Source organism: Homo sapiens, chromosome 19 (assembly GCF_000001405.40).
Source record: "Homo sapiens chromosome 19, GRCh38.p14 Primary Assembly".
Classification (NCBI taxonomy): Eukaryota; Metazoa; Chordata; class Mammalia; order Primates; family Hominidae; genus Homo; species Homo sapiens.
The window spans coordinates 51,630,840-51,653,511 of record NC_000019.10 but is presented as its reverse complement, the minus strand read 5'-3'; the positions used below and the strand labels follow the sequence as shown (position 1 = coordinate 51,653,511).

Below are 22,672 nucleotides of genomic sequence, written 5' to 3'. Positions count from 1 at the left end.
CTTCCACTCTCTATCTCCATGAGTTCAATTGTTTTAATTCTTAGTTTCCTCCAATAAGTGAGACCATGCAAAGTTTGTCTTTCAGTGCTTGGTTTATTTCACTCAACATAGTGACCTCCAGTTCCATCCATGGTTATTGCAAATGACAGGATCTCATTCTTTTTCATGGCTGAATAGTACTCCCTTGTGTATAAGCACCACATTTTCTTTATCCATTCATCTGTTGGCGGATATTTAGGTTGCTTTCAAGTCTTGGCTTTTGTGAACAGTGCTACAATAAACTTGGGAGTGCAGATATCTCTTCCGTATACTGATTTCCTTCCTTTTGGGTATATGCCCAGCAGTGGGATTGCTAGATCATATGGTAGCTCTATTTTTAATTTTTTGAGGAATTTCAAAATTGTTCTTCACAGTGGCTATATTAACTTACCTTCCCGCCAACAGTGTACAAGGATTCCCTTTTCTCTACACCCTTGCCAGAATTTGTTATTGCCTGTCTTTTGGATATAAGCCATTTTAACTGGGATGAGATGACATCTCATTGTAATTTTGATTTGTATTTCTCTGATTATCAATGATGCCAAGTACCTTTTCATATACCTGTTTGCCATTTGTATGTCTTCTATTGAGAAATATCTGTTGAGATCTTTTGCCCAGTTTTTGGTTGGATTATTAGATTTTGTCCTAGAGTTGTTTGAGCTCCTTACGTATTCTGGTTATTAATCCTCATTTGTAAATTTTTTGTAGAGACAGGGTCTCATTACATTGCCCAGGCTGATCTTGAACTCCTAGGCTCAAGCAATCCTCCCACCTTAGCCTTCAGAACAGTTAGGACTATAGGCACATGCCACCAGGCCTGGTAATTGACTTTATGTTGATGGCTGTCACAGAGGGTCTTGTTATAAGGGAGGGGCACATGTCAGGATCTTTCCCAAAAGTCATGGAAGGGTTGTGAACTCTGAAATTGAGATCAAGTCTCACAGGGAGGCTTTTGGCAGCTTCAGGGTCTGACGCAGAGTAGCTGAGGGGAAGTGGAACACAGTGGCTAGGGGAGAGGTTATATCAGGCAGAACTCTTTGGGGTGCAAGCAAGATCAATCTAGCTCAAATGGGCCTATTGGGAAATAAAAGCCAAGCATTGGCCCACTTAGCCGAAAAGTTCTGAAGTACACCGGCTTCAGGCACAGCAGGTTCCAGAATTGGTTGATGTCTCTAAAATCCTTTTTTGTCGTTTGTTAACCCTAGAGTTCTTCCTTCCTCTGTTGACTTTGTTCTCAGGCAGCTGCAGGCTTACATTTCTTCCACCCAGGGATGCCGGGAGAAACTGAACAGCTATTTTTCCTGAAGGTGTGGCAAAAATCCTGGAACTTGGATCTTTAGAGGCAATTGGACACGGGCTTGTTCTTAAAATTGGCCGCAGCATTGTTGGTGATGAGCTATGTCAATTGGACAGTGCTCCCTGCACAATTCACAGACTCCCCGCTGAAGTGAGGGATGGGGCTGATAGTGGTAGTTCTCCAAAGGAAAATAAAATAGGGCTATGGGTGAAGAACTGGGTTGTGGGCAGTCAACAAATAAGCAAGCAAACAAATAATAACACCACTGCATAGGAGATCAGAGCCATTGGAGACCTCTGCCTTTCCCTCAAACTTGGAAAACCCAAAAGTGTAGAGGAGGAAGTGAAGATGAGGGCAAGTCTGCCAAGGGTTACAAGATTTGTACATTGGACTCAGCATTGGAGCTGGAGATCTGACACCAAGAGCGTGGTGTTGTGTTCATATTTCCACATCAACTCAGATACTCTCAGAAGGGTGGCTGGGGACCCAGGCTGGAGACATCATGGGGAAACTTCCTCTTCTATTGAATCAGAGTGCTTATGTCTATGTGTTGTATCTTCTGAATGCAACTTCCTTCCCGCTCACTTATCTCTTCTGCGTTCCCGCTCCTAGTAGATGAATCAGAGTATGGGGTTAGAGAATGAGGTGATTCCAGGGCAGGGACTTGGGTCTCCTCCAGCCTAGAGATGCTTCTGGCCTCCCTGCCATTGAATGGGGCAGCAGTCAGAGGGTGGATGGGGGCGGAGAGTGGGGTTGGCTGCACTTGAGTTTCATTTCCCTAGACAGAGCCTGGGGGTGTGCAGAAAGAGAGAGTGACCAGGAACCCTGCACTTCCCCTACACCTGGTGCATAGTCTGACTCTCATCCTCAGGTCTAGGAAACCCCAAATTCAAGTTCCCCACATTTAAAATTCCCGGAGGGCACGTGTGACTTTGGTGCTCTGCTTCCCTCTCTTGGTTCCCGCCATCTCCTACAGTTTTGACTGTAAATTCTTTTCTCTCTTGTCAGCCATTCCATGGTTTAAAGAAGACTTGCATTAATTATCTTCCCTGTATTTTTAGTTATTTTCAGTGGGAAAGTGGGTGTGATATCCAGATCATGGAAGCCCTGGAGATGGTCTCTGTCCCTTTTTCATTTGAACTCATGCCTTGGCCAGGCATTGTGGCTCACACCTATAATCCCAGCACTTTGGGAGGCCAAGGCCGGAGGACCACTGGAGCCCAGGAGTTCAAGACCAGCGTGGGGCACATAGTGGAACCTTCATCTCTACTTAAAAAAAAAAATTAGTTAGGCGTGGTGATGTGCACATGTAGTCCCAGCTACTCAAGGTGAGAGGATTGCTTGAGCCTGGGAAGTTGAGGCTGCAGTGAGCTATGACTGCACCACTGCACTCCAGCCTGGGTGACAGCTAGACCATGTCTTAAATAAATAAATAAATAAATAAATAAACTCATGCTCTTTGTGATGTCACTCAGGCTCATGACTACAGACACTCTTTGAACATGAATGACCCCACTTTTGTCTCCAGCCAGAACTTTTTCCTATTTTTCCTAAATTCCAGACCCACAGATCTAACCCCTTTCCTTTTCCTTCCACTTGTATGTCTAATAAGCACATCTAACCCAACGTGTCCCAAGCTGAGCTCCCGATTCTTCTCTTGAAGTCTTTTCCTCTTCTCTCAATGGCAGCTTCAAGCCTGCAACATCTCAGGTCAAAAACAAGCATTATCTGTGGCCCTTTCCTTTCTCTTCCCATGTGTGTCCAATCTGTTGACAAATACTGTTAACTCCCCCTCTTCTCACCACTTCCACTGTGTCCTTGGAGACCTGAGCACCCTCCTCTCACCTCCCAAGCATTGCAATGGCTCAGCAGAGTCTAGTCTCAGGAAAGCAAGCAGAGTGATCAGGTAAAAACAAATAAAATCCTGCCCCTTCTCTGTTCAACCCCTGTCTTCACAATTTGCTCAGTGTGATGGTTAATTTTAGGTCTCCACTTGACAGGGCCATAGAGTGCCCTGGTATTTGCTCAAATACTATTCTGGGTGTTCCTGTGAGGGTGTTTTGGGATGAGATTAACATTTAAATCAGTAGACTTTGAGTAAAGTGGATTGCCCTCCCCAGGGTGGGTGAGCCTTGACCAGTTGGTTGAAGGCCTGGATAGAGCAAAAAGCCTGGCGCTCCTGTGAGTAAGGGGAACTCCTTTTGCCTGACTACCTGCAAGCTGGGACCTGAGTTTCCTCCTGCCTTTGGACTAGAGCTGAAACTTTGGCTCTTCCTGGATCTCCAGCCTGGAAGCTTGTGGACTGGAGCTACACCGTCAGTTCTCCCAGGTCTCCAGCTTGCCGACTGAGGATCTTGGGACTTTTCTGCTTCAATAATTGTGTGAGTCAATTCCTTATAATAAACACACACACACACACACACACACAGACACATCCCGTTGATTCTGTTTCTCTGGAGAACCCTGGCTAATACACTCAGCAAAAGTCAGGTTTTTGTTTTCAGTTTGAAAGTGGGTACTGTTAATTAACTGACCAGATTAGAAAAATAAATAATGGTAGACACCTTAGTTCATTCTTCTAAGAAGCCTGTTGATCTGGTGCTCCTTGTTGCCAGCATCTCCACCTTCTACAAAATGGGTTGTCTCTTTCCTCATTCTACCTTGTGGAGAGGATAATTTGAAGGGCTACGAGAAGTTATTTCTTCAAATCATTTTCCAGCAGTACAGGTCCCATGAATTGGATCCTTATATAGCAGATGATGCTATATTTACATATTTATCAAGCAATCAAAGTGTTATCTGTCAAAGCAATTTGCTTCTTATTGATTTTGTCATAACCACGCTTGTAGGTTAGTTCATTTACTGACTTCAGGTTTGGGTGCCCCCATGCGATATGTGGTTCTGAATCCTCAGCCTGTTAATTGATGCTTTATTGAGCTTCACAAAGCTTCCATTGGAGAGTTGACAATGGCGAAGAAGCTGCAACACCTTTCGGACCTTTGGGCTCCCACCATTGACCCCTCAGATCCTGATGACAAAGGCCAATTTGGGTTCTGCAGTTGCATAGAAGTTGCTAGCTTTTCTTGCCTTCCTTGCATTCAAATTTCAGTTCTGTCCATCTGCCTATATTCCTTGTGATAGTGCTTCGCTTTTTCCTAGAAAAGCTTCTTCCTTGTCTTTCGAAGCATCTTTTGGGCAAAATTCCTTCTCAGGGGCTTGATCTTCAGCTCTGTGAAATTGCTTCCCTTTTTCTTAAGGGTTTCTGGCACAGCAGGAACCTTCTTTTTCTTCTTCCTCTCTTTGACACCTTCCATAGTTCCAGCTGGACAAGAAAAAAGTGAACTTCTTATGAGAGCTCCCAAATCTCTTCATGATCAGACCCAGGACACCTCCCAGACCTACCCTCCTACCATCTTCCCCACTGATCACCCCTCAATGCTGGCATATGGCTATTTTCCAAGCACACCACGTGTGTTCCTACCTTGGGACTTTTAAATGTGCGGTTCCCTTGGAATGGATACCAGTGGACTCATTCCCACACGCCCTTCGCATCTTTACTCAAATGTCATCTCCTCCAAGTGGCCCCCCAAGCCATGCTGTAAAAAATTTTATCATCATGCCTGTCATACCAACACTGTGGGAGGCTGAGACGGGCGGATCACCTGAGGTCGGGAGTTCGAGCCCAGCCTGACCAACATGGAGAAACCCCATCTCTACTAAAAATACAAAATTAGCCAGGTGTGGTGGCACATGCCTGTAATCCCAGCTACTTGAGAGGCTGAGGCAGGAGAATCGCTTGAACCTGGGAGGCAGAGGTTGCAGTGAGCTGAGATCACACCATTGCACTCCAGCCTGGGCAACAAGAGCGAAACTCCGTCTCAAAAAAAAAAAAAAAAAAAAAAAAATTATCAGTCCTCACTGATTCCTCTTCTGTGTTCCTGTTTTTATTTTTTCTTAGAATATATTATTCTTTAGCAGACTGTGTATTTTAATTTCATATTAAATGTTTGTCTTCCCTCTAGGATTTTTATTTTATTTTCTCTTTTTCTTTTCTTTTCTTTTTTTTTTTTTTGAGATGGAATCTCGCTCTGTCGCCCAGGCTGGAGTGCAGTGGTGCGATCTCGGCTCACTGCAAGCTCCACCTCCCGGGTTACGCCGTCCTCCTGCCTCAGCCCCCCCAGTAGCTGGGACTACAGGCGCCCGCCACCACGCCCGGCTAATTTTTTGTATTTTTAGTAGAGACGGGGTTTCACCATGTTAGCCAGGACGGTCTTGATCTCCTGACCTCGTGATCCACCCGCCTCGGTCTCCCAAAGTGCTGGGATTACAGGCGTGAGCCACTGCGCCCGGCCTTCTTTTTTTACTGTTCTTCGTGGAGCAGGGGTATGCATAAGCAGTGTGCCCAGAGGAGCCCCCACTAGGATTTTTGACTTACCTTCTCATCCTAAGAGTTTATCCTTTGCTGTATCTCCAGCTCCTAAAACAGGGGGCCTGGTGCACCATAGGCGCCCATGAAGCATCAGTTGAATGAGTGAATTCTCGGGGCCAGACACTGTCCTAAGCACTTTACACATGAGACCTCACTGAATCCCCACACAGCAATTCTATTATTGTCTGCATTTTTCAGCTGAGCAAACTGAGGCACAGAGAGGGTAGGTAACTTTTGTAAAGTTCAACAGCCGGTAGGTGAGGGGTCTGGGTTCACACTTGGTATTCCATATCCTCAACGTTCACATTTCAAATGCCCGGCTCTCAAGCCTCATCTGGCTGTCAACATCAGGGATGGGGTCTGACGCTGCCTGGGACAAGGACAAGGATGAGATGAGGTTCCCAAATCCAACTGGTGGTGGGGACCACATCTCTCTTGACTGCTAAGGACCCGGTCATGTCCACCTGATGTGTTTGTCCCTGACAACTTGCCTTCCCTCTGGAAAGAGGAAAGTCTTCCCCACCTGAAACCCCCAGCGTGTGCTTCCCTCACCACAGCTCCTATCATGTCATAAAGGATTTATTCTCCCATCTCGCTGAGGGTCCCGAGGCCCTGACTCCCAGGGAGCTGGCCAAGTGGTGTTCTCCTTCCTATGTAGACAAAGGTGCATAAGGAAAGTGCTGCAGCTATGGGACCTGGTGACCTCAGGAGTCTAGACTTACAAGTCTGGACAAGCCCCTCTGGGGGCCTCAGTATCTTCACCATCGGCGTCCAGTGGGGGTGGGAGCAGAATGGCTTCCCAGCCCCAGCCTCACCCCAACAGCACGTGATGCCCAAGTTCCCCTTCTGTGCGCGTCCACAGCTCTCACTCACCCTCCGGCTTCCTGTCGGGGCTTTCTCAGCCCCACCCCACGTTTGGACATTTGGAGCATTTCCTTCCCTGACAGCCGGACCTGGGACTGGGCTGGGGCCCTGGCGGATGGAGACATGCTGCCCCTGCTGCTGCTGCCCCTGCTGTGGGGGGGTGAGTGAGCTGAGGGAGGAGGGACAGGCACAGGGGTGAGAAGGGGGGCTGGAGCTGCAGCTGAGCTTCTGTGTCCCCCCAGGGTCCCTGCAGGAGAAGCCAGTGTACGAGCTGCAAGTGCAGAAGTCGGTGACGGTGCAGGAGGGCCTGTGCGTCCTTGTGCCCTGCTCCTTCTCTTACCCCTGGAGATCCTGGTATTCCTCTCCCCCACTCTACGTCTACTGGTTCCGGGACGGGGAGATCCCATACTACGCTGAGGTTGTGGCCACAAACAACCCAGACAGAAGAGTGAAGCCAGAGACCCAGGGCCGATTCCGCCTCCTTGGGGATGTCCAGAAGAAGAACTGCTCCCTGAGCATCGGAGATGCCAGAATGGAGGACACGGGAAGCTATTTCTTCCGCGTGGAGAGAGGAAGGGATGTAAAATATAGCTACCAACAGAATAAGCTGAACTTGGAGGTGACAGGTATGGCAGGAACCCTAGGAGAGGACCCTGGGACGTGGAGACCCCCGTATGAGAACAGGGACAGGAGTTGGGCAGGGGCGGCTGGAGGAGGTGTAGGACTTGGGGCAGGTCGGGGCCTGAGGCCTGGCCACTCTCGGGGTCACACCTTACGTCCTCAAGCCCCTGGGGCCCAGGTATCTCCCTGTCTCCTCCTCAGCCCTGATAGAGAAACCCGACATCCACTTTCTGGAGCCTCTGGAGTCCGGCCGCCCCACAAGGCTGAGCTGCAGCCTTCCAGGATCCTGTGAAGCGGGACCACCTCTCACATTCTCCTGGACGGGGAATGCCCTCAGCCCCCTGGACCCCGAGACCACCCGCTCCTCGGAGCTCACCCTCACCCCCAGGCCCGAGGACCATGGCACCAACCTCACCTGTCAGGTGAAACGCCAAGGAGCTCAGGTGACCACGGAGAGAACTGTCCAGCTCAATGTCTCCTGTGAGTGGTGCTGGGGACACAGCTGAGTCCCCAAGGGCAGTGGGAGTGAGGGGGGTGTGTGTGTGTGTGTGTGTGTGTGTGTAGAAGAGAGAGAGAGAAAGAGAATGATAACCAGGGAAAACTCGTGTGTGGGCAGGAAGGACAGCGGTCCCCACCTGGTGGGTTTCTGTGGCCCCTCCTTGGGTCCCTCCCGGGACCACGCCCATCCCTCTTGTCACCTCTGAAGCTGGTGCTGTATCTTTCTATCCCAGATGCTCCACAGAACCTCGCCATCAGCATCTTCTTCAGAAATGGCACAGGCACAGGTAGGAAAGACCCTCTTCCCTCTGGGGCTGTGATGGGAGCCTTCTATTAGCTCAGGGTTCAGCATTGGGAGAGGAGACCCTCCCTCACCCCTCAGCCCCTGGGTCTGGGTCCTTCCTGCTCCCAACCCCCCAATCCCAGTCACTAAGATCTTGCACGAACAGACCTAGTATTTCTTTTGGCTTCTCCCTTTTCTCTGCTCTCTTTTTCAGATTTATTTTTTCATTGTGAGAAAATACACATAGCACAAAATTTGTCATCTTAGCCATTTTAAAGAGTACAGTTCAGCAGTGTTAAATGTGTTCACATTGTTGCAAAACCAAACTGCAGAGCTCCTTTTATCTGGCAAAACTGAAACTTTGTACCCACTGAACAGCGACTTTCCACTTCCCCCTCCTGCCACCGAGCAGTCACCATTCTACTTTTCTGTCTCTGTGAGTTTGAGTACTCAGGACACGCTGTTCCCTTTTCTTGAATTTCTGCCTGCTCCGATGTCCTCTGATGCATGCCCTGCTTCATCTCTAACTGATCGTCCTTTTTGGGAGCCTTCGACTTTCCCACCTCCCACAGCTCTGTCCCAGAACCCAGTTCTTCCCCTCCACATTCCTGAGTAATCCGATCTCTCCTTGACCCTGTCCTGATGCCTCCCACAACTTTATATCCAGCCCTTTCTCTGAGGCACAGATCTGCACATTTAGCCACCTCCCTCGGATGCTTCTCGGCTCCTCCTTCCCTGTTGATCCCAGGGCTGTTCTGGACATCGCTGTAGACAGCACCCTTTCTCATCAGCTGTTTCATGAGTCCGCAAGTCTTAACACCTTTACTTCACCAATCATCACTTCCCTCCTCATCCCCTTGGTTCCAGGCCCAGCTCAAGTCTCGTGCTCAACCCTGGCCCATTGCCCCAGCCTCCTCCCAGCCTCCCTGCCTCCTATCCCACTTCTCTCCAGTCCGGGACCTACTTGGCTCCAGCAGGATCTTTCTAGATCCAGTGCTAACTCTGTTTCCCTTGCTTATAGCCCCCTCTTGCTTTCCAGGATAAAGCCCAAGGCCCTCAATCTGGCACCCAATGCTCCAAAAGATCTGAGCCTGCTTCTACCTCCATTATCGTGTCTTGGGAGCTCTGGGTCCTCCCTGACAGGTTGCGGATCTAGGAGCCTCTTTCCTCGTCTGCCTGTCTCAGTTCTTGGCACGTCTGCACCTGAGCTGCCCATCCACTTCTCCTTAATGTGAGAACTCCTCCTCATCTGTCTTTTCTCAGCTCAGCCACCTTCTTTCTGGTAGCCTGACCTGATCACCAAGTCCTCATCCTTTCACCCATGACTAGCCCATTCTCAGCACTCACCACACAGTCTTGTCTTTCTTCTTGCAGCTCAGTGGGAGGAATGAGGGAGAATTGGGCCTCCCAGCTCCACTCACCTGGCTGTGCTTCTCTTTCCCAGCCCTGCGGATCCTGAGCAATGGCATGTCGGTGCCCATCCAGGAGGGCCAGTCCCTGTTCCTCGCCTGCACAGTTGACAGCAACCCCCCTGCCTCACTGAGCTGGTTCCGGGAGGGAAAAGCCCTCAATCCTTCCCAGACCTCAATGTCTGGGACCCTGGAGCTGCCTAACATAGGAGCTAGAGAGGGAGGGGAATTCACCTGCCGGGTTCAGCATCCGCTGGGCTCCCAGCACCTGTCCTTCATCCTTTCTGTGCAGAGTGAGTTGCAGGACAGGTGCTGAGGGTAGACAGCCCGGTGAGGTATTCAGGTTGGTGGGAGGGACTGAGGCCTGGTAACAGCACCTTACCTTCTCCTTTCTCCCAGGAAGCTCCTCTTCCTGCATATGTGTAACTGAGAAACAGCAGGGCTCCTGGCCCCTCGTCCTCACCCTGATCAGGGGGGCTCTCATGGGGGCTGGCTTCCTCCTCACCTATGGCCTCACCTGGATCTACTATACCAGGTGAGCCGGACTGCCTGTCTCCAGGAAGCTCCTGAGTTCCAGGTGGGGCTGAGCTGTCCTGCCCCAGGACAGCTCAGCCCCACCTGGAATTAGAACTGAAGTGGCTGGTGCTGATCTGAGGCCCATGTTGGCTCTGCAGGTGTGGAGGCCCCCAGCAGAGCAGGGCTGAGAGGCCTGGCTGAGCCCCTCCCGCTCAAGACAGAACTGAGGTGTGGACACTTAGCCCTGTGGGACACATGCAGGACATCACTGTCAGCTTCTTTCTGGAAGCTCACATCCCACTGACTACCCCTCTTTTCCTTCCTGCCCCATACCCCTTCTACTTATTCCCCTCTGCTTGTGAGTCTTGCCCCACCACACCTGCATCCCCATCTGCACCCCATCCCCTCTCCACCTGCCCTTCTCTTCCCTCTCCATCCACCATCTCCAGCCCTGTGAAGGGAATGTACTTTCGGTCTTATACCCCCATTACCCATTACCCAAAAGTTACCTTTTTTTTTTTTTTTTTTTTTTGAGACAGAGTCTCACTCTGTTGCACAGGCTGGAGTTCAGTGGCACAATCTCCGTTCACTGCAACCTCCACCTCTGGGGTTCAAGCAATTCTCCTGCCTCAGCCTCCCTAGTAGCTGGGATTACAGGTGCCTGCCACCACATCCAGTTAATTTTTTTTTTTTGTATGTTAGTAGAGATGGGGTTTTACCATGTTGGCCAGGTCTCGAACTCCTGACCTCAAGCAATCCACTGCATTGGCCTCCCAAAGTGCTGGCATTACAGGTATGAGCCACCGTGCCTGGCTGCCAAAAGTTACCTTCTTAACACTTGAATTTCTGGTCTCCTCAGCTTCCCTATCCATATAGGCACAGAGAGGCAGCATTTGTTTTCCAGTTAAAACTCTACCTCATTGTGATTATTATCCAATACAATTGTTACAAAATAAGTAAAACTTTTATGAAACAATACAACATAACTGATTTTACTCTTTAATGCCTCTGTGAGAGTTTGTAGACAAAAATTATGTCTTTTTTTTTTTTCTTTGAGACAGAGTTTCTATCTTGTTGCCCAGGCTGGAGTGCAATGGCAAAATCTCAGCTCACTGCAACTTCTGCCTCCCAGGTTCAAGTGATTCTCCTTCTGTCCATATACAAGAAGGCAATACCTGTATTGTCAGGTTCTGTGCATCGTATAACTGGAACCAAACATATTTGCTTTAGGGTCTGCTTTCATTTCTTCAGTGTGGTTTTCCCAGTTTATCCACGTTGTTACACGTATCAATAGCTCATTCTCAGTTTTGGTGGGGTTTTTTTTGCTTTTAATATCGTACAGTCAGCCTTCTGTATCCACTGGTTCTGCATTTTCCCTTTAATCACTTTTGCTGCACCACAAAAGTTTTGTTATGTTGTATTTTTATATTAGTTCAAAATATTTCCTTCTTTCCCCTGAGATTTCCTTTGAATTCACGGATTGCTTAGAAGTGTGTTGTTTAATTTCTAAGTGATTGCAGATTTTACTGGTTTTTTATTTTTAAACAAATTGTTACTACTTTCTTTTTAAGTTCCATTTTAATAAATACACATGCTTGATATGATTTTTTTTAACTTTTAAGTTCAGGGGGCACAAGTGCAGGTTTGTTACATAGGTAAAGTGTCATGGGAGTTTGTTGTACAGATTATTGCATCACCCAGATATTAAGCCTAGTACCCATTAGTTATTTTCCTCATCCTCTCCCTCCTCCCACCTTCCACCCTTTGAAAGGCCCCAGTGTGTGTTGCTCACCTCTATGTATCCATGTGTTCTCATCATTTAGCTCCCACTTACAAGTGAGAACATGTGGTATTTGGTTTTCTCTTCTTGTGATAGTTTGCTGAGGATAATGGTCTCCAGCTCCACTCATGTCCCTGCAAAGGACATAATCTCATTCTTTTTTATGGCTGCTTAGTATTCCATGGTGTATATGTACCACATTTTCTCTATCCAGTCTACCACTGATAGGCAGTTAGGTTGATTCCATGTCATTGCTATTGTGAATAGTGCTGCAGTGAATGTATGCATGCATGTGTCTTTGTAATAGAATGATTTATATTCCTTTGGGTATATGCCTAGGAATGGGATTGCTGAGTCGAATGGTATTTCTATGTTTAGGTCTTTGAGGAATCGCCACACTGTCTTCCACAATGGCTGAACTAACTTTCACTTTCACCAACCGTGAGAGTCTTTTATATTGGTTAAGTTTGCTTGATGACACTGGTCTATCTTGGTGAATGCTCCATGTGTGCTTAGAAAGAATGTGTATTGCCCTGTTATGGGACGAATATTAAATGGCAATTAGACATAGTTGTCCAATGGTGTTCAGTTTTATAGCTGGTAACTTTTTTGTCTACCAGCTCAGTCTATTACTGAGAGAGGAATGTTGAAGTCTCTGATCCTAATGTTGGATTTGTCAGTTTCTCCTCTCAGTTTCATCAGTTTTTGCTGCATGTATTTTTAAACTCTGTCGTTAGGTGCATACATATTAAGAATTCTCATGTCTTCTTAAAGAATCAACTTAAAAAAAATTTTTTTTTGAGACAGAGTTTCGCTCTTTTTGCCCAGGCTGGAGTGCAATGGCGCGATCTTGGCTCACTGCAACCTCCGCCTCCCAGGTACAAGTGATTCTCCTGCCTCAGCCTCCCAAATAGCTTGGATTACAGGCACGCACCATCACGCCTGGCTAGTTTTTTTTGTATTTAGTAGAGACAAGGTTTCACCATGTAAGTCAGGCTGGTCCTGAACTCCTGACTTCAGGTGATCCACCCGCCTCAGCCTCCAAAGTGCTGGGATTATAGGCGTGAGCCACCGCAGTTGGCTGAATCAACTGTTTTACATTATGTAACATCACTTTTTGTTCCTGTGATTTTCTTTGCTCTTAAGTGTACTTTGTCTGCTATTAACATAGCCATTCCAGTTTTCTTTTGACTAGTATTTGCATAGTATGCATTTTCACATCCTTTAAGTCCTAGCCTCACCTCATTATATTTGAAATGGAAAGCATTTATACTCAGAAGCTGGAGTTCCTTTTCCCTAGCTCTTCCCTTTCCAGAATTGTTACCTGTTGTTTCAGTGTTCCTAGTTGCCCTGGGCTTCATCCCTTGTTTCTCAGTCCAGAAAGATGGAAGGAGTTGTATTAGAATTTTAGCAGCCACTTTCTGCACTGTAGCTCTGACCTACCATTGGAATAAAGCTATTTATTCCTTGTTGGTGCCTTTCCCCAAATATTGACTCCCGTTCCAGAATCTATTTTCTTTTATCCCATTTCCCAAGTAGTTTTTTTTCCCCATTCAAAGCTTATAACTTGTAAGGATTTTTTGTTTGTTTGTTTTGTTGTGTTGTGGTGAGTTCACTCTGCTAGGAGCTTACTCCTTCATAATAAAAGCACGACTCCTTCTCTTTCGTTTTGAAGGATAATTTTCCAAAATGTAGAATTCTAGCTTTGCATTTTTCTTTTAACCTTTTGGAGATGTCATTCCACTTTGGAGGGCGGGTGAGTTTCTCATGACAATTCAGTCATCATTTTCTTATTGTGGTTCCATTTAAGGCAATATCTGTTTATGTCTTGCTGCTTTTATAATTTCTTCATTCTTTTTCATGAATTTAACTTTTATAAACTTCAGGTGTTTTTCTTTTAATTTCCCTAAGTGCATGTAGCAAAGAGAGTGCAATATTTGCTTTTTTTCTATATGCTTTAACTCTTGATATACTTTATTTATGCTATAATAGAAATGTGTGTCTTCCCAAAATTTATATGTTGAAATCTTAAACCTCAAGGTGATGGTATTAAAAGGTTGGGGCTTTTTGGAAAGTGATTAACCCATAATGGTGCCATCCTTCATGAATGGGATTAGTGTTCTCATAAAAGAAACAGAAGGAAGTGTGTTTTCCTCTTCTGCCATGTGAGGATACCACGAAAAGATACTATCTGGGAAGCAAATAATTCTCTCCAGACACTGAATCCGCTGGCACCTTGATCTTGGACTTCCCGACCTCCAGAATTATGAGAAATAAATTTCTGTTGTTTATAAATCACCCAGCCTAAGGTATTTTGTTATAGCAGCCCAAATGGACTGAGACAATTTATCTTTTCCATCCTATGTTTTTCCCCTCTTTATTGTTTGGGTAATTTTCATTGGAAGAGATAGCTTGAACCACCAAAGTACAGAATAGAAAGTGTGGCAAAGTAAAAGAGGCAGTTCTTGTTCATCCCCAGTTAATCACTGTCATAAGGGGAGTGCTAGATCTTCCAATTTTGAAAGGTAAGTTGAGTAAGTTCATATTATTTTAACACTTCTCAATATTGAAATATTGAAAACTAATTTATAATTTCCAACACATAAATACTTATACAATTTTATAAACAGTAATAATTACAGGAATGCAAATCAAAACCATTATGAGATACCACTTCGTACACGTTAGAATGACCACTATTAAAAAACAAAACAAAACCAGATAATAACAAATATTGGTGAAGATTTGGAGAAATTGAAACCCTTGTGCATTGCTGGTGGGATGTAAAATGGTGCAGTCACTATGGAAGATGGTATGAAAATTCCTCGAAAAACAAAGCATGTAATTACTATGTAATTCAGCAATTCCACAATTCCACTTCTGAGTAGATACCCCAAAGAATTGAAAGCAGGGAGTCTGATATTTGTACCCCAATGTTCACAGCAGCATTATTTACAATAGCCAAAACATGGAAGCAACATAAATGTCTATCAGTGGATAAATGGAGAAACAAAATGTAGTATGCATCAAATAAAATCTTATTCAGCTTTAAAACGGAATGAAGTTCTAACAAATGCTTTAATGTGTATGACTTTGAAGACATTATGCTAGGTGAAATAAACCAGACAGAAAAGCACAAATGTCATAAGAGTCTACTTATATGAGATACTGAGATAGTCAAATGCATAGATACAGAAAGTAGAATGACGCTTGCTAAGGGCTGGGATGAGAAGGAAATGGAGAGTCAGTGTTTAATGAGTACACAGATTCAGTATGGAAAGATGAAAAAGTTCTGGAAATGGATGGTTGTGACAGTTGTAAAACAAGATGAATATATTCAGTGCCACTGAACCATACATTTAAAAGTGGTTAAAATGTTAAAATTTGTGTTATGCATTATTTTACCAAAATAAAACTTTTTTTTGTCAACACTTTCAATCAAATATAATAGAAATGTAAGCTGAATATATCTATCCAATGGATGCCCAATCAAAAGTAAAGACTTCATAGCTACCAGGGTGTTCTCTCAGTCCACACCTCTCCTAGTTGGAGTCCTTCATAATTGCCTCCACATAATTCCTGCCTCAATTTATCATACCATCAACTCAGTCACAGGTTGTAACTTTGTTCTCAGCTCCTCCTCTCCTGCTTTGAATTTGTTAAAATTGTACTGCACCAGGCTGATATATTCCAAGAGTTTAAGAGCAGATTTAAGTTTTGATGGTACAAACCAGTAATTCCCAAATCTTGCATCCTGTTCAGATTTTAAGATCCCCAGAAAGTAACTGGATCTCTCATGCTTAATAATCACAGAGAACCCAAAGCTGCCAACTTACCACAATATGTGGGAGAGTTCCTGAGGGTGATGGGTGATTGACATATGCAAGCTGGTATCCCTTCCCCAAACGTGAGAACAAAGACTTCTTTCCTGCCTTTCCCAGCACTTTGTACAAGTATATTTTGGGTAGCACTCTTCATTCAAGGTTTGGGAGCAGCAGAAAGGAATGGCTCTTCAGGATAAGAAGTAGGTTAAATTGGATGCTAGACATCGTGTTGCAAAAATTCACCATTCATCCCCACCACAGAAAGTCTTTCACTGGATTTTGTGTCCTAGTACCACGTTGTTGAGTCCAAGAGGTCATCCCCCAAATCCTCATCTCATTGCCACTGAATCCAGAACTTTTAAAAATGCTTTCTCTATCCTCCACAAGGGGGAGCCTTAACGTTCATCTTCCTTTTTTTATCCAGCATCATTTTAGCTTCCTCTTCACCTCATCCTTCAAAAGTTTATACATCCAAAATTACCACTAGTAATTTTTTCGTCTGAATTTCACCTCAATAAAAAATATTATCACCAGTTTAATTTGAAAACAAAGTAGTGATAAACTATATACACACTTTTCTCTTGAGGCAAACTCTGTAGCCCTTCTTGAATGTGAAAATGGTAATTTCTTTACCTCAATTCTTTTTTTCCTTCTTACATCCAATTCTGTATTTTGTGTTACTTTACTTTTATTAGAATGGGCATTGTGCCCCTGAGGTGGGCCAGCCTGGCCTCTTCCTTGCCCTTGGGGCCCAGATTTCCTGGTAGAGGCTGTGGGGAAATTTCCTTTTCTGCCCTTCTGTCTATATCTTGTGGCTTCTGGTTGCAATTTCCTCTTCTCTCACCCCATTTGTTTCTTGCACTTAATAGACAGCACAGAGGATGGGGGTTGGGGGAATGAAGCTGTCCCAGGGCAAGATCTGGGATCTCCAGCTTGAGAGATGCCTCTAGTGTTGAGTGGGACAAATGCTTGAGAGGACCAGGTGGGGTTTGGGGCTGGCCCTACAGGTATCTCTGTCTCTCACCCAAGGAAACAAGTGACCTAATGTTTTGTACATTCTCCTACACCTGGGATCCTGGAATCCTAAAACTCACTGCAGCCAGGCACGTGGTAACTGTTCTCTAGTGATCGATCACAAAGAGAGGGTGAAAATAAAAAATAGAATTCCCAAGATCAATGTCACCTCCTCAGTTGCTCCCAGGACAATAACTCTTCTCTGAGCACTGGGGGATTCCAGATGGGAGTTAGTGGGAGATATATCTTAAGAGGATGTGGTAGAACATAAACCTTTTACCTAAGGAGTCACTGTGAGAGTGACAGGGGCACAAGTTCTCCAAGAGTGAGCAACAAGAGGTGGAGATGAGGGTGGGACCACACATGGAGTTACTCATCACTCCGAAGGGACCCTGGAGCCAAATGGAGAGGAAACACCCATTACCTTCTCTCAAAAAGGTGCTGCCTTCTCCTTTCAGGGACCTGAGACCCATGACTGCTACCTCACTCCTTGTCTCAGTGGTCACCTTTACTTCTGGGCTTCAGGTGCTCTGCAGGTGCCCTTCAGTTTTCCCCTTTGGAAGCCAGAGAAACATGGAGAGAATCAGCCTCCTTAGCATGGCTTATGGGAGCTGGAGTAGGATGTCAGGGTCCTGGGGAGAAAAGACCTTTGGATGTGCAGGTCCTGTGGAGGCAAGACCTCAGAGAGGTAGAGCTCAGTGTCTGGGCCAGGGGTCAAGTTTTCAATCTTTCTCTTTATAAATAGTGTTATTGGCTGGGCGTGGTGGCTCACACCTGTAATCCCAGCACTTTGGGAGGCCAAGGTGGGTGGATCATGAGGTCAGGAGATCGAGACCATCCTGACCAACATGGTAAAACCCCGTCTCTACTAAAAATTCGAAAATTAGCTGGGCGTGGTGGGGTGTGCTTGTAGTCCCAGCTACTCCGGAGGCTGAGGCAGGAGAATCGCTTGAACCTGGGAGGCGGAGGTTGCAGTGAGCCAAAATCACGCCACTGCACTCCAGCCTGGGTGACAGAGCACGACTCTGTCTCAAAAAAAATAATAATAAATAATAAAAATAAACAAATAAATAAATAGTGTTATTTATGTTTTGCTCAGAAATCCTACCTACCTCAAATTCATGGCGATTTCCTGCTATATTATTTTCTAACAGCTCTATTGTTTTCTTTGTCATATTTAGACCTTCAAGCTACCTGTACTTGACTTTTATGCATGAGCTGGGAGTCAAATTTCATTGCAAACTTACTGCAAACTTGATTGCATTAAGTTTTGCCCACAGATATTTTTTGAAAAGTTGGCCGGGCCCAGTGGCTCATGCCTGTAATCCCAACACTTTGGGAGGTTGAGGTGGGAGGACCGCTTGAGCCCAGAAGTTTGAGACCAGCCTGGGCAACATAGTGAGAACCTGTCTCTACAAAAAATTAAAAAATTAGCCAAGCATAATGGTGCATTCCTGTAGTCCCAGCTATTTGGGAGGCTGAGATGAGAGGAGTGCCTGAGCCCAGAGAAATAGAGACTGTGGTGAGCCCTGATCACACCATTGTACTCCATCCTAGGTGACAGAGACACTGTCTCAAAAAAAATTAAATAAATAAAAACCCAAAATAAATAAAAAGAAAAATTTATTATTTGCCACTTCCTCTATCACACTTGATGTTTCCTGTGGTTGAGGTCTATTTCCAGGCACTCAATTTTGTTCCACTTGGTCAATACATAATTGTCACTTTTTTTTTTCAGACAAGGTCTCACTGTGTCACTTTGTCACCTTGGATGGAGTGCAGTGCTGCAATCTTGGCTCACTGCAACCTCCACCTCCTGGGCTCAAGTGATCCTCCCACCTCAGCCTCTCAAGTAGCTGAGACTACAGGCATGAGCCACCCATGCCCAGCTAATTTTTGTGTTTTTTGTACAGATGGGGTGTCACCATGTTGCCCAGGCTGGTCTTGAATTCCTGGGCTCAAGTAATCCTTCTGCCTCGGTCTCCCATAGCGCTGGTATTACAGGTGTGAACCATTGAAATGGGCCTATTTTCTCACATTTTTAAAAATTTGAGACAGTCTCACTCTGTCACCCTGGGTGGAATGCAGTGGCACAATCTTAGCTCACTGCAACCTCCACCTCCTGGGTTCAAGCAATTCTTGTGCCTCAGCCTCCTGAGCAGCTGAGATTACAGGCACATGCCACGATGCCCAGCTAATTTTTGTTATTTTTTAGTAGAGACAGGGTTTCACCATGTTGGTCAGGCTGCTTTCAAACTCCTGACCTTAAGTGATCCATCTGCCTCGGCCTCCTAAAGTGCGGGGATTACAGATGTGAGCCACTGTGCCCCGTCTGAAATGGTCATATTTTCTGTAATGTTATGATACATCTTTTTATCTTGCAAAGCCATTCATTGTTCTTCATGGTTGCCTTGACCATACTTGAACATTTCTACTTCAGTATAAATTTTACAATAGAGTTACCAAATTGCACAAAAATCACCCGGGAGATTGTATGACATATTCCTTTGATGCTGTAGATTGTTGGGTAAAATTGGCATTCATACAATATTGTTCTCAAACTCATCAACATGGCCTCTTTTTCAGTTTATTTACATCTTGATTTATTTATTTTTTATTTATTTATTTTCTTGAGACGGAGTCTTGGTCTGTCGCCCAGGCTGGAGTGCAATAGTGCAATCTCGACTCACTGCAACCTCCATCTCTCAGGTTCAAGTGATTCTCCTGCCTTGGCCTACTGAGTAGCTGGGACTACAGGTGCCTGCCACCACACCCAGCTAATTTTTGTATTTTTAGTAGAGATGGGGTTTCACCAGGTTGGCCAGGGTGGTCTCGAACTCCTGACCTCAGGTGATCCACACGCCTCGGCCTCCCAAAGTGTTGGCATTACAGGCGTGAGCCACTGCGCCCAGCCTATTTACATCTTTAATGTCCTTGAATACAGATTTATAATTTCCTCCATAGAGGTGACATATACATATTTTTGTTAGATACATCTCTAATAGTTAGATATATTCCATATATTCAAAAATTATATCATATTTTTTGATATTGATAAATTATATCATAATTTTTGAAGCTTTTGTCAATGGCATTTTTATAAAATTCCATTTTTATTACTGTGATGTGGAAAGACAACTGATTTTGTAATTTGATTAATCTCTGGCTGTCTTGCAAATATTTTATTAAGGCTTCAAATGTATCCGTATATACTTTTGGATTTTTCTTTTTTTTTTTTTGAGATGGAGTGTCGCTCTGTCGCCCAGGCTGGAGTGCAGTGGTGTGATCTCCACTCACTGCAAGCTCCACCTCCCAGGTTCACACCATTCTCCTGCCTCAGCCTCCCGAGTAGCTGGGACTACAGGCGCCCACCACCACGCCCGGCTAATTTTTTGTATTTTTAGTAGAGATGGGGTTTCACCATGTTAGCCAGGATGGTCTTGATCTCCTGACCTCGTGATCCGCCTGCCTCAGCCTCCCAAAGTGCTGGGATTACAGGCGTGAGCTACCACGCTTAGCCTGGATTTTTCTATATGTGCAGTCATGTCATTGATAAAGACCTCTGTTAAAATTTCATTGTAATTGCTGTACCTTTTGCTTATTTTTATTGCCTTATTATGCTAGGACCTGAAGCTACTTCATTAGGTATATGATGTTTGCTGAAGACACCCTTTATCTTGTTTGGGAAATTCTCTAAAGAGAATTTCTAGTTGGCTATGAATTATATCATAAAGGGATTTGAAATCACCCAATGCTCACTTATTCATCTCTTGAGATTTAATTAGTTAAGGCTGATGTGAAAACAGAAGCCATACTATGTATTTTAGGAGAGGGAATTTAATATTAAGATTTTAATATAAAGATAAAAATACCATTTTCCTACATAATCAAGTCTTTATCTTTAGATCCTACTAGCCGGTATGATGAATTACTTTCACAGTTCAAATGAGGAATAAAGTTCAGAATTTGCAATAAGAAAAAGAAAAAAGAAAAAATTATTCTGACACCTGTTAACATTGACTATTCAGGATGACTGAGACAGGTATCAAGACTAGTGCAGGCCAGGCACAGTGGCTCATGCCTGTAATCCCAACACTTTGGGAGGCAAGGCAGGGAAATGACCTGAGGTCAGGCATTCGAGACCAGCCTGGCCAACATGGTGAAACCCCCATCTTTACTAAAAATACAAAAATAAGCTGGGCATGGTGGCATGCACCTGTACTCCCAGCTACTCAGGAAGCTGAGATAGGAGAATCGCTTGTACCTGGGAGGGGGAGGTTGCAGTGAGCTAAGGTTGCACCACTGTACTCCAGCTGGGACAACACAGTGAGACCCCGTCTCAGAAGAAAAAAACAGAAGTCAATTAAAAAAAAAAAAAGACTAGTGCAATAATGGAGATAGGTCAGGCTCAACTCGGAATACAGCAAAGACCAGGGGGGTTTATGGGCAAGAAGCATAGTGCAGCAGGTGAGGGAGGCTGGCCGTGTGTGTTAGTGGACGGAAAACTACTAAGAGGAGACACTGAAGATACCGGGATTCTTTCTAAACTGACTTAACAGGATTCTTGCTGAAAGCAGGCCAGCATGATCAGATACCAAGGGTGAGGGCTAGGGAATTTGATCAGATAGTGAAGGCGATCAGATATCAAGAGTCTTGCAAAACCAACTTAGCAGGATTCTTGCTACAGCTGGACAAGGCAGTCCCAAGGACAAAGCCTAGTTGAAAAAAGGGTTCAGAGGAGCTTTCATAAGTTTGGTTAAGAAGAGAGTCTTTGTGACTCTTTAGAAAAAAAAATACAAAAATACAAAATTTGGCACACATAGGATGATTTTTGGACTGAGAAAACACATCAAATCACAAAATCTAAAATGTCAAAATATGAGACAACTCAGAAAAATGGCATACTATGTTTGTTAATAGTATAGTCTACCTGTCTGCTACACCTGCATACTTTTTCCCTATATTTTTGACTGATTTTCTTTGATTGCCTTCATAATGGTGATAATTTTTTTCTTTTTGAGACAGAGTCTCACTTGGTCACCCAGGCTGGAGTGCAGTACCGTGATCTTGGCTCACTGCAACCTCTGCCTCCTGGGTTCAAGTGATTCTCCTGCCTCAGCCTCTGGAGTAGCTGGGACTATAGGTGTGCGCCACTATGCCTGGCTAAATTTTTGTACTTTTAGTAGAGAGGAGGTTTCTCCATGTTGGCCAGGCTGGTCTCGAACTCCTGATCTCAGGTGGTCCACCCGCCTCCTCCTCCCAAAGTGCTTGGGATTACAGATGTGAGCCACTGTACCCGGCCAATATTGGAGAATAATTTTATAATACAATTTTTATAGATAGAATAGAAAGAGAAGTCGGTATTTCTTCTGGCATGGGTGGTTGACGTTTGTTTTGATCATTGATAGTTTAAGAAACTGTCTTTATTCTCACAACACATTAATCGGAATGTGAAAAATTTTTAATATATTGTTAAATTTTGGGAAACTATTATGAAATTTCTTTCATAAAAGAGCAGTAACAAGGCAGGTTATTTCCACACATTGCGTGGGCCCCTCCTGGGCATCTGAAAAGTGGATCCTGCAAGGGAGGGCATTGAAGATTGAGCTTCATCAGCCTCACAGTGGCAAATTTGCTTCTGTAGCTCCTTAATAGGATGAGGCTTTAGCAGGGCTTGTGTTTCACTGCCGTCCCACAAGACCCTCAGGTCCATCAAGACCCAAAGTGGACTGTGCTGTGTCCCAAGAATCTTCTTAACATAAGAGTGCTTCAGCTCTCTCATGCTCTGACCCTCCACGAAATTTGGGTCAAAAAAATTTTTTTTCAGCCCTTTTGAACTTTTTTTTTTTTTTTTTTAAGGCAGGGTTTCACTCTGTTGCCCAGGCTGGAATGCCGTAGTGCGATCACGGCTCACAGCAACCTCAAACTCCTGGGCTCAAGGAATTCTCCTATTTCAGTGCCCCGGAGGAGCTGAGACTATAGGTGTGCCACCACACCAGCTAATAGTTTTTATTTTTTGTAGAGATGGTGACTTGCTATGTTGCCCAGGCTGGTCTCAGACTCCTGGGCTCAAACAACCCTCCCACCTCAGCCTCCCG

General features: G+C 45.1%; 1 protein-coding gene and 1 pseudogene across 2 annotated transcripts; one reads left to right on the top strand and one right to left on the bottom strand.

The window, feature by feature from the left end:
- On the bottom strand, nucleotides 3,835–4,674 carry RPL7P51 (ribosomal protein L7 pseudogene 51; annotated as a pseudogene).
- On the top strand, nucleotides 6,687–14,034 carry SIGLEC14 (sialic acid binding Ig like lectin 14). Of its 2 annotated transcripts, NM_001098612.3 has the most exons (7): nucleotides 6,687–6,789; nucleotides 6,872–7,255; nucleotides 7,452–7,730; nucleotides 7,982–8,035; nucleotides 9,476–9,733; nucleotides 9,840–9,975; nucleotides 10,115–14,034. In NM_001098612.3, exons 1-7 carry the CDS (start codon nucleotides 6,753–6,755, stop codon nucleotides 10,155–10,157), a joined length of 1,191 nt encoding a protein of 396 aa, NP_001092082.1. In that variant the 5' UTR covers nucleotides 6,687–6,752; the 3' UTR covers nucleotides 10,158–14,034. The 2 variants fall into 2 exon arrangements, with proteins under 2 accessions (NP_001092082.1, XP_047293947.1); XM_047437991.1 differs by lacking the exons at nucleotides 9,840–9,975; nucleotides 10,115–14,034 and having other exon boundaries at nucleotides 7,452–7,693; nucleotides 9,476–9,579.
- Nucleotides 14,035–22,672: the final 8,638 nt, after the last annotated feature.